The sequence below is a fragment of the Homo sapiens genome, chromosome 17 (genome assembly GCF_000001405.40).
Source record: "Homo sapiens chromosome 17, GRCh38.p14 Primary Assembly".
Classification (NCBI taxonomy): Eukaryota; Metazoa; Chordata; class Mammalia; order Primates; family Hominidae; genus Homo; species Homo sapiens.
Genome location: NC_000017.11, coordinates 66,022,661 through 66,035,030, shown reverse-complemented (window position 1 = coordinate 66,035,030; position 12,370 = coordinate 66,022,661). Strand labels below are relative to the sequence as shown.

Sequence of the window (12,370 nt, the reverse complement as noted above, 5' to 3'; positions counted from 1 at the left end):
CCATCTCTACTAAAAAAAAAAATATATATATATATATGTATATATATATATATACATGCAAAAACTTAGCTGGGCATGGTGGCACATGCCTGTAGTCCCAGCTACTTGGGAGACTGAAGCATTAGGACTTGGGAGGCAGGGGTTGCGGTGAGTCGAGATTGCGCCACTGCACTCCAGCCTGGGCGACAGAGTGAGACTCTGTCTCAGTGAAAACAAAAACGAAAACAAAAACAAAAAAAATTCAAGTTCACTTTATCACTGTTACTTTGTTCAATGATATACAGATAGCTGAGGTCACAATATTGCTTCAATGTCTATCATTTTTCTTCTCTGATTTGTTGGATATCTTTCTGTTTTATCTCTTTTTTTCTTTCTCTCATAAAAATAGTTTTATGCTTTTATCTGAGCATTTTTTCTCTCATCTCCACTGTAATTATTCACATTGTAGAAAGAGAGCTGTCTGGTTTTTCTGGCTAACAGAAACCCTTTTTCTTTAGGCAAAGTCTGTGGATTTATTTATTTGTGTAATTCAACCCCCTTTGCCTTGGTTTATTTCTTTAGCAATTTGATACTTTCTAAAATTTTATGATGTTCACATTTATTTTGGATTCATATAAGGAAAAAAAGAAATAGATTTCCAGAAATTCTTTTAATATAGAGGGGAATATCTTTACCTCTATGTTGGATTTCTTGTATTTTATCTCTATTTTTTATAAAACATGCAAAAATCATTTTGATATATTCTATATTGGACAGATGTTTGTTATTTCCTCATTGTAACCCTGTTATAACCTTATAAAATGCTAATATTTTCTATAATATGGCCAGAAATCACTCCAGTTTTGAATATGGAAGGGACATTTTGACATTTTAGCAGTTATCCTGTTTTTATTTTTGAGAATACAGTAGTGCCTTGGTATATGCAGGGGATTGGTTCCAGGACCTCTGTGTATATCAAAATTGGCACACATTCAAGTCTTGCAATCGGCATTGTGGAGTCTGGGTACAGAAAAAGCGGACCCTTCATGTAAGTGGGTCTCACATCCTGTGAATATTGTATTTTTGATCACCATTTAGTTGAAAAAAAAATCTGCATATAAATGGACCCATACAGTTCAAACCCATATCATTCAAGGTCAGCTGTTTTGATAATTGGCAAATGTTTATTGAATACCTACTACAAGCTAAGCAGTGTGCTAGAAAGAAACAGGAGATCTAGTGCAAATAAAGCAATGTCTTGGCTGTCTTAAGCTTATACTTTATTGTGGAAAACAAACAACAAAGAAAGAAAAAGCAAAAGAAAGGGTAAGAGGCCACAGAAATATAGGCAGTAGAGATCTGCTTATTTAGGTAGAATGGCTATGGAAAGATTCCTTCACAAGATGACATTTAGGTGGAGAACTGAAAGAAGTGAGGAAATGAGCTATGCAGGCCCCTGGAGGAAGATGCTTTAGGCAGAGAGAACAGTAAATGAAAAGGCTTTGAGGCTAGCTTGATGACTTTGAGAAACAGCATGGAGGCCTGTATGGCTGGAGTATAGTAAATGAGAGGGAGGGTGGTAGGAGATGAAATCAGAGGCCATGATAGTCTCTTCTTATTCTGAGTGATAAGAGAAGCCATTGGAGGGTTTTGCAAGAGAGTGACAGGTCTGATTAATGCTTTAAAAGGATCATTTCCTTGAAGTTTAATAATTTTACTTATGTCTTGGCATTCTTCATTCTGTGTGACTTTTACAGTATACTCTATTTGTATATTATTTTCATGTATAGTTTTCTTGTATGTCATTAGGTACATTTTCTTGTTCTACCATTTCTGTTCTTTAGGTACACTAACTAGGTAAATGCTGGATCTCCATTTTGTTTTCTTCTATGTTGGTTGTTTGCTCTTACAGTTTTTACTTGCTCATAATGTTATTTCTTTCCCTTAATCAATCTCATCCATAGATTGCTTTGTGCAAAAATGGTTTGTGTGATTTTTTTCATTCAGCATAATCTTTCTTGCTTCTTTTTCGTGCCAGATTATGTTGAAAGAAGCTACAGTTGGAATGTATGCATCTGTTATTATTGAACCAGCGATGTTATTTGCATGCCACTTAGTTTGTACAAGTGTGTTCTGATGACATTTTCAGGATTTCCAGCCACGAGACTTCTTCTTCTGGACTATTCCTGTAATTATATTTGATCTTCACTTAATTTTGTGTGATGTCTCATATATTTTGAGTCAGGAAAACACATGCCTCATATGTTTTACAATTTCAATATATGGGGCATCTGCATGTCTATTTCTATTTTTCCTCTGATTTTATTTCTTGGTATGCCTGTTATTTTGTGATTAATTGCCAAACATTGTGCACAAAAAATAATAAAGGCTGTGGATGATGTTATCTTCTTCCAGAGAGGCTCTTCTCTCACTTCTGAGAGGCAGCTGGTGTAGAGACAGATCACTGGATCCATTCAGGGACTGAATTGACTCAAGGCTGAGTTGCAATCTTGGTAATCTTTGGTCTACTTTTGACTAACTTTCGCTCCTAGTGGTAGTCCTCAACACAGGTCTCAACTGAAAGCCTGTGATATTATTAATACTAGGGGCTCTCCTCCTTGGACAATCTATTTTACTCCTAAGTACACTGATACTGCAGAAAACTCTAGTGTGCTTTTCTGAGTTTTTTTTTTTTTTTTCACTTGGTTTCTTGGCTTCCTGCCCTGTGAATGCTAAGACTTTGACAAATTTGGCCAGGTGCAGTGGCTCATGCCTGTAACGCCAGCACTTTGGGAGGCCAAGGTGGGCAGATCACTTGAGGTCAGGAGGTCAAGACCAGCCTGGCCAACAGGGTGAAACCCCACCTCTACTAAAATTACAAAAACTAGCCAGGTGTGGTGGTGTGCACCTGTAATTCCAATACTCAGATGGCTGAGGCAGGAGAATTGCTTGAACCTGGGAGGTGGAGGTTGCAGTGAGCCGAGATCCAGCCTGGACAGAGTGCAACTCCATCTCCAAAAAGAAAAAGAAAAAGAATTTGACAAATTCTCTTGAGAAAACTGCTGGTGTGGTGCCCACTTCTCTGTGTGTTGCTTTTCTGAGGGATCTTGTGTCCTCAAGTCCTGGCTGCCTCGGCCACCATCTGCCTTTGTTTCCTTGCCCCATCCTCATCTTCCGTCATTGAAAAATACCTCTAGGGTAAAAGCACCTTACAGGATGATGCCTCATCTCTATGATGTTTTCAAACTGCCTTAGAAGTTCTCAAGTGCTTTCCTACTAATTAAATCTTTCACTGGCCATGGTGGCACACGCCTGTAATCCTAGCACTTTGGGAGGCTGAGAAGGGTGAATTGCATGAGGCCAGGGGTTTGAAACCAGCCTGGCCAACATAGTGAGACCCCATCGCTACCAAAAAAGGTACAAAAATTAGCCAGGTGTGGTGGCATGTACCTGTAGTCTCAGCTGCTCAGGAAGCTGAGGTGGGAGGATCACCTGAGCCTGGGAGGTTGAGGCTGTAGTAAGCCAAGATTGCGCTATGAGACCCTGTCTCAAAAAAAAAAAAAAACAAAAAAAAAAAACAAAACAAAACTGGGTTTTTCAGTTGTTAGCATTGGGATTGTGATCTGCTGCAAGCTACTCTTTTATTGCCAATAATAGAATATCCTCTTGTAGGGTTTATTAGTATGGAATTTGCATTTCTATTTTTAGTTTATCTTGTCTGTTTTTGGTTTCCAAGAGACGAAGGAATACAAATCATCTTTATTCCGCCATCTAAAACTGGAAGGCAAAGTATATGTTCTTTGTTTCTTCCAGTTAATGAATACGCAGGACATAAAGGGTGTTTAGAATATATATTAGGAAATGGAAACTATTTTCTGAAAGGAGCTCCTAAAGCAGAGGGATAATGAAGAGACAAAGTGAATAAGATGCAGGAAGAAGAAATCAGAACTTCTGATGTTTGTCAGTCTAGAATTGTATGCATTTAAAGAAGTTAGTCTATAAACCATGCTTTTAAGTTAGATAAGTCATTTATATAGATTGGAAGCTGTTACACCAAAATTTAACTTGTATACCTATTTGGTATTGTAATGAAGAAAGGATGAGATGAAGAAAGGATGTCAGGGTTGTAATATTATCTAATGCTTAAACTGCATCTTTAAAATGGTTCTCTTAGAATAACACAATAGTTGAGTGCAACATCATACTAACCTATCCTTATTGCTCACACTTATTAGAAGTTTAATTTTAAAACTGAAAATTAACTGTCCCTTCATCTAATGCTTGCTTACCCTAATTTTAGATAAAGTATCTAAAAGATGATAAATACCTTTATCCACGTTTTAAATTGCAGTTCTACAAAGGGGAAAAATTCTAAATAAATATTAAATAATAGAGAAATGATTTAGTTGAGTGATAATCTTAATACTGTGGAAGAGTAGAGAAGTGCATTTTACAAAACGGCAAAGATGTTAAAAAATGAATAAAAATCTTGCACACTAACACAACTAATTAAATGTTCCTATACACTTAAAAATAAGTGTATCACTTATGTGAACACCCTTGTGCTACAATTTTGGGGCTATGGATTTCCTTTAAAAATACTATTACATTACTCTTATAACACATTTCAAAAACTTAAAATCAAACGCAAAGATCACTGGTAAGTAGTCAGCTAATGGCCGTACGTATAAAGAGGCATAGAGACTGAAACCTTCCTGAGGATAGGAACTTTGTCTTATTTACTGCTATGTATCTACATTCTTGAATATTACCAGCCTCAGTAAATATTCATTAAATGAACAAAAGGCTAAAAGTATATAACTGTGATGTTCTTATTTTTCTGGTAGTATGCATTGTTTTTTTAAAGACTTGGTTAAGTTCAAGGTTGATTTAATTTCTACTACCATGGTTTATGATACATTTGTTTTATTTATTCTTATAGATTATACGTGTTCCTCAAGCTTCTTACAGATACAAAAGTGTTACAACTGAGTCAGAGACTTTCTTAACCATGACCTGTTCTTTTAGAACCACATGATCAAAGAACTGGAGGCCCGTGTCCAGCAGCTGACTGGAGAAGCAGAGAACAGTAATTTACAGAGGCAGAAATTAATTCAAGAAAAAGCAGAACTTGAAAGATGTTACCAGATAACGTGTAGTGAATTACAAGAAGTAAAGGCAAGGTATTGTCTGAAATCAGATATTTATCAGGTGTAGCTATAAAGTACTGATATTAACTGTATCAGTTATCTGCCAAAATTAATTACACCTTGTGCGTTTAGCCTTGGGAAGTTTCTAATCTAAATACTGCTGTTTGTTTGTTTGTTTGTTTGTTTGTTTGTTTATTTAGAGACAGGGTCTCTGTCTGTCACCCAGACTGGGGTACAGTGGTGTGATCATGGCTCACTGTATCTCAAACTCCTGGGCTCATACGATTCTCCCTCCTCATCCTCCCAAGTAGCCAGGACTGCAGGCATGCACCACCATGCCTGGCTAATTTTTCTATTTTTATTTTTTTGTAGAGACACGGTCTCACTCTGTTGCCCAGGCTGGTCTCAAACTCTTTTTCTGAAGTGATCCTCTTGCCTTGGCCTCCTCAAGTGCTGAAATTTCAGGCATGAGTCACTGTACCCAACCTGTTTTTAACATAAGCAGAATGTTTAGAAGCAGTTGACAAAATTGTGGATACTTATTTAATATATTGAATGGAAATGTATTTGGATTTAGCTGATTAAAAAATTTCATTTTAGAGATTGGTTTTAAATACATTGAAAGTCTATTTTATTCTCTTGTTTTTAGGCGTAACACACTGCATAAAGAGAAGGACCATCTTGTAAATGATTATGAGCAAAACATGAAACTGTTACAAACCAAATATGATGCTGATATAAACCTTCTAAAACAAGAACATGCTCTTTCAGCTTCTAAGGTATTATTTATGTTAATAGATAATCCACATGAAGTATTTATTCACTAAGCCTAGAGCCATAGATAGCCAAGTAGAAATTATTTGGCATTTGAAATTAATCTCTCTTTCACTTTATTCTTAAATTAACAGGAACTTCAGGAATTTTTACTGGTATTTAAAATGTTTAAAATTCGAAATGTCTACTATATAGCACAACACAAATATTTAATAAACTGAATTCTGCTATAAGCTAATCATTTTAAGTGCCAGTCTTAAAAGGAGGAAACATATAAATTCCAATGCTTAGTTGTATGAATAATACATTTCATAGAGTAACTATATGCGTTATTATTGTTTTGAAATCTTGGTTCTGCTTTCATTTTATAATTAAAATTTTGAAGTTTTCTGTAAAGCTATTATTTTTATGTCAGTGTTACATTTCCATAACATTAAATATTATGTAGCATTTAATTTCTATTTTTACTTTAAAAGATTATATTTTTATGTCAGCATTACATTTTCATAATATTTAATACTATGCTGCATTTAATTTATATTTTTACTTTAAAAGATTATTTTTTCTAGTATCTTTTAAAAACATTTTTCATTCAAATTTCTAGATAATTTTAATTCTGATTGGACTTTCAGGGGTACAAAAGGCATATTTTTTCAATCAGAAAGTATAATATGGTACAAAAATCAATATTCTGCTTTTTATTCTTCTTAAAATCCTTGTAGGCATCTAGTATGATTGAAGAATTAGAGCAGAATGTCTGTCAATTAAAACAGCAGTTACAGGAATCAGAACTTCAAAGAAAGCAACAACTAAGGGTGAGTCTTGTATTTCTACACAGAAGAACAATGGTCAAACACAGTTTTCTTGATTCAGATGTATCATTGAGAGTCAATTAAAAAAATAAAACTCAGAAATGCAGGTCATCTTTTCTGATTCTTTTATCGCATTGTATAATTTTACATTTTATTTATCTTAATAGAGATTGATGCTTTGAGATGTAGAGAATAAAGTACAATAATTTGAATTGGAATGATCTCTTTTGAGATTAGTTTTAAAAATAAATTTTATTTAAATATATCATTATTTTAGAATAATTTCCTTCTTTTAAATTACCTGCCAATCTTCATAATTTCTCTCTTTCTTTCCCTCTTTCTTTCTCTGCCTCTCTCTCTCCCTCTGTCTCTCTCTTTTGCACCTTTTAGATCTCTTTTCTCTCGTGATCAAAAAATACCAAGGACTGTTACATGATGTAACTTCAAATTTATCATTTCCATATTTATTGACTTGGTCATTTTTGAAGTAATCTCTTAATCCTAAGGGTCAGAAAGATTTTCTTATACTGTAAAGCAAGTGCTTTTGAGAATAGTAATATCTTCAGGTGACTAAGATTTTATGCCTCGTAATACAAAGCTACTCCAATTTCTACCTGTAGGGCTTACTTAATCATATGCAAAACTCTGAACTGAAGTTTGACATTAAGTAGATTGATTGATTTAATTAGGTTGCTAATTTTATTGACTCTAGTATAATTTAAAGTATAATAAATATAAACATTTATCATTCACAGGATCAAGAAAATAAGTTTCAGATGGAGAAAAGTCATTTAAAACACATCTATGAAAAAAAGGTAATATGTTTTATGGAAGCTATAAAATATTTAAAATAGCAAATGAGGCATTAATGCAGACTGATTTTTATGAAACCATACATTCTCACCTTTAAAGAACAACTTGTTTCTTTGTCTTTTTTTTTAGACAGAGTCTTGCTCTGTCACCCAGGCTGGAGTGCAGTGGCACGATCTCGGCTCACTGTAGCTTCTGCCTCCTAGGTTCAAGGGATTCTCATGCCTCAGCCTCTTGAGTAGCTGGGACTACAGGTGTGCACCACCATGCCTAGCCAATTTTTGCATTTTTAGTGGAGAGGGAGTTTCACCATTTTGGCCAGGTTGGTCTGGAATTCCTGGCCTCAAGTGATCCGCCCGTCTCGGCCTCCCAAAGTGCTGGGATTCCAGGCATGAGCCATTGCGCCCAGCCAAGAATAATTTGTTTCTAAGTTAATTTCAGCTAACCAGTAATTAAATTTTGCTTATTTTTCCTGTTTATATAATAAACAACTGCTTCAGTTCAATTATTAGTTATATCAACATTAAAACACTGCTTGTGTGTTATATTTAATGAGTGAAGAGTACAGTTGGCCTTTCATATCCATGGATTTCACATCTGTGGATTCAGTCAAACATGGATCAAAAATATTCAGGAAAAAAAATTACACAAAGGTCCAAAACTATAACTTGGATTTGCCATGTGTCAAGTACTATGTTGAATCCATGTGAATGAAGTGATGTGTAAGCATTGGATTAGGTACTATATAAGTTATTATGAGATGACTTAAAGTACATAGGAGGATGTGTGTAGGTTATATGCAAATACTACACCATTTTATAAAAGGGACTTGAGCATCCATGGATTTTGGTATCCTAAAGGGGCCCTGGCACCAATTCCCCATGGATGCTGGGGGACAACTGTATTATTATCTTAACCTCTCATTATAACATGTTGAAATTATATTTTCTTTCTACTAGTTTAAAACTACACAATCAATGGGATGTATTTGGTATTCTGTTGTGTCATATGTGCAACAAGAACTTTAAACATTTTAACAAAAGAACCTAAAACAATGAAAGTACTGACTACTACTTGAAAAAGATTAGCAATTGTTCCTTGTTGTTTATAGTACTATTTCAACTGACACATGTTGATATCCCTCCTGTAATAACTAGGGGGTTATTGACACACTTAATACCTTAGGCAGTAAAGTGCAGAGTTTTATAGATTTATTTTTAAAATTTTTGTGTGAATGTAACGGGTACAAGCGCAGTTTTTTTACATGGATATATTACATAATCATGAAGTCTGGGCTTTTAGTGTAACCATTACCCAAATAATGTACCCATTAAGTAATTTCTCATCCCTCGTCCCCTCCTAACCTCCCACCCTTCCAAGTCTTCAGTGTCTGTCATTCCACACTCTCCACACTCTACGTTCATGTGTACCCATTATATAGCTTCCACTTATAAATAAGAACGTGGCATTTGACTTTCCCTTTCTGAGTTGTTTCATTTAAGATAATGTACATACAAATGGGGTGTGTGTGTGTGTGGTCTATATATATCTATATATGTGTGTGTGTGTGTGTGTGTGTGTGTGTATGCCACATTTTCTTTATCCAGTCATCCATTTATGGGCACTTAAGTTGATTCCATGTTTTGCTATTGTGAATCATGCTGTGAGAAACCTATGAATAATGACCTTTTCCTTTGGGTAGATACCCAGAAGTGGAATTGCTGGATCAGATGGTAGTTTTATTTTTAGTTCTTTGAGAAGTCTCTATACTGTTTTCCTTGGAGATTATACTAATTTACATTCCCACCAGCAGAGTGTTAGTGTTTCCTTTCTCTGCATCCTCACCAACATCTGTTATTTTTTGACTTGTTAATAATAGCCATTCTGACTAGAATAAGATGATATCTCATTGTGGTTTTAATATGCATTTCTCTAATATTCAGTGATGTTAAGCATTTTTTCATAGGTCTGTTGGCCTTTTGTGTGTCTTTTTTTGAAAAATGTCTACTCATGCCCTTTGTCCACTTTATAATGGGGTTATTAATTATTATTATTATTTTGTTGCTGTTGCTGTTGTTGAGTTGTTTGAGTTCCTTGTAAATTCTGGATATCAGTCCCCGGGCCAGATGCATAGTTTGCAAATATGTTCTCCTATTCTTACGGTTGTCTTTTCACTCTATTGATTATTTACCTTGCTTTCTAGAAGCTTTTTTAAAATTAAATCCCATTTGTCTGTTTTTGTTGCTTGTGCTTTTGAGGTCTTAGTCATGAATTCTTTGATTAGACCAATGTCCAGAAGAGTTTTCCCTAGGTTTTCTTCCAGTATTTGTAGGGTTTCAAGTCCTACATTTAATTCTTTGATCCATCTTGAGTTGATTTTTATATATGGTGAGAGAGGGATTCAGTTTCATTCTTCTGCATATGGTAATTCAATTTGCTGAGCACCATTTATTGAAAAGGGTGTCCTTCCCCCAGTATATGTTTTTGTTGACTTTGTCAAAGATCATTTGGCTGTAGTTATGTGGTGGTGTTTCTGGGTTCTGTATTCTGTTCTACTGATCTATTTTTATGCCAGTTCCATGCTGTTTTAGTTACTATAACCTTGTAGTATAATCTGAGGTCAAATAATGTTATGCTTCCAGTGTTGTTCTTTTTGCTTTGGACTGCTTTGGCTCTTCTGGCTCTTTTTTAATGCCATATGAATTTGAGGATTGTTTTTTCTAAGTCTGAGAAAAATTATATTGGTATTTTGGTAGGGATTGCATTGAATCTTAGATTGCTTTGTGCAGTATGGTCATTTTAACAATATTAATTATTCTAATCCGTGAGCATGAGATGTTTTTCCATTTGTTTGTGTCATCTACAACTTCTTTCAACAGTGTTTTGTAGTTTTCCTTTTACCTCCTTGGTTAAATATATTCTTAGGTTTTTTTTATAACTATTGTAAATGGGATTGCTTCTTGATTTGGTTCTCAGCTTGTTTTTGATACATAGAAATACTACTGATTTTTATACATTGATTTTGTATCCTAAAATTTACTGAATTCAGTTTTAATATTTAAGAGGTTTTTGGGGGGAGAAATTGTTAGGGTTTTTTAGGTATAAGATCATATTATCAATAACAGATAATTTGACTTCCTCTTTTTCTATTTGGATGGCTTTTATTTCTTTTTCTTGCTTGATTGCTCTGGCTAAGACTTCTAGTTCTATGTTGAATAGGCATGGTGAAAGTAAGCATCCTTGTCTTATTCCAGTTCTTATTGGGATTACTTTCAACTTTTCCCTGTTTATCGTGATGTTGGCTGTGGGTTTGCCTTACAGATCCTTTAATATTTTGAAGTGTATTCCTTCTATGCCTAATTTGTTGAAGGTTTTTATCATTAGGGTGCGGTCAGTTTTAACAAATGCTTTTTCTGCATCTGTTGAGACGGTCATATGGTTTTTGCCATTAATTCAGTTTATGTGATGAATCACATTTATTGATTTGCATATGCTGAATCATCCTTGCCTCCCTGGAGTAAAACCCACTTGATCATGGTGTATTATGTTTTTGATGTGCTGTTGGACTTGATTTCTTAGTATTTTATTATGGATTTTTGCATATATGTTCATCAGGGATATTGGTCTTTACTTTTTTTGTTCATGCTTTTAAAAATCAATTTTGTCAATCTTTACCTTTTAAGTAGAGCATTCATTCCATTTGCATTCAAGGCTAATATTCATATGTGAGTTTTTTTCTTGTTATAATGTTATCTAGTTGTTTTCTAAATTATTTGTTTCTTTTTTCTCTTTGTGGGTTGGTGGAGTTTTGTCATGTTGCTATTTAATTTCTTTCTCTTCCTCCTTTGTGCAATTGCTTTGTAAGACCTGTGAGTTTTATACTTAAATGTGTTTTTATGGTGGTGAATACTGACCTTTCATTTACATGTTTAGAACTCCTTTGAGCATTTATTATAGAACCAGCCTAATAGTGACAAATTCCCTCAGTATTTGCTTGTCTGGGAAATACTTTGTATTTCTTTCATTTATGAAGCTTGTTATGTCAGGATATAAAATTTGTGGTTGACAGTTTCTTTTTAAGCACTCTGAAGATCGGATCCCAATCTCTTCTGGTTTGGAAAAGGTTTGTGCTGAGAAGTCTGATGTTAGTCTGATGTTTTTTTTCTTAATAGGTGACTAGATGCTTTTGTCTTGCTGAGTTTAGGATTTTTTTCTTCATGTTGACTTTAGACAACATCTGATGACTATTTCTTATGGTAAACTGCATCTTGCAATATCTTTTTCTAGTGTTTGTTGCACTTCTTGTATGTGGATGTTTAAATCTCTTGCTAGACTACAGAAGTTTTTGTCAATTATTTCCTTAAATAGGTTTTCTAAACTTTTTGCTTTTTCTTCTCTTTCAGGAATGGCAATCTTTTGTAACTTCAGTTGCTTTATGTAGTCCCATACTTCTCAAAGGCTTTGTTCATTTTTTTAAAATTTATTTTTAGTTTATTTTTGTTTAACTGGATTAATTCAAAAGTCTTGTCTTCAATTTCTGAGAATTTTCTTTTCTGCTTGGTCCAGTCAATTGTTGAAGCTTTCAACTGTATTTTGTAATTTCTTAATTATTCATTTCCAGAAATTATTTTTTTCTAAGATATCTGTCTCATTGGCAAGTTTTTAAAATTTATATCCTGAATTGATTTTGTGATGTCTTTGTGCTGGTTTTCAGAATATCTTTTATCTCATTGAATCTCTTTAAAATCAGTATTTTTACTTCTTTATCTGGCATTTCTTTTTTTTTTTTTTTTTCTTGAGGCGGAGTCTCGTTCTGTCATCCAGGCTGGAGTGCAGTGGCACGAT

General features: G+C 34.3%; 1 protein-coding gene across 22 annotated transcripts in view; it reads left to right on the top strand.

The window, feature by feature from the left end:
- Positions 1 to 12,370, top strand: part of CEP112 (centrosomal protein 112) — a 556,597-nt gene that overhangs the window by 157,103 nt on the left and 387,124 nt on the right. For all 22 annotated transcript variants that reach the window (XR_007065281.1, XR_007065280.1, XR_007065282.1 and 19 more), the window contains 4 exons: positions 5,008 to 5,162; positions 5,779 to 5,908; positions 6,626 to 6,718; positions 7,471 to 7,530. Coding sequence is in view for 19 of the 22 variants with exons in the window: in NM_001353128.2 (NP_001340057.1) it covers positions 5,008 to 5,162; positions 5,779 to 5,908; positions 6,626 to 6,718; positions 7,471 to 7,530 (438 nt within the window). In the remaining 3 variants the exon portion in view is untranslated. The remainder of the gene's footprint in view (positions 1 to 5,007; positions 5,163 to 5,778; positions 5,909 to 6,625; positions 6,719 to 7,470; positions 7,531 to 12,370) is intronic.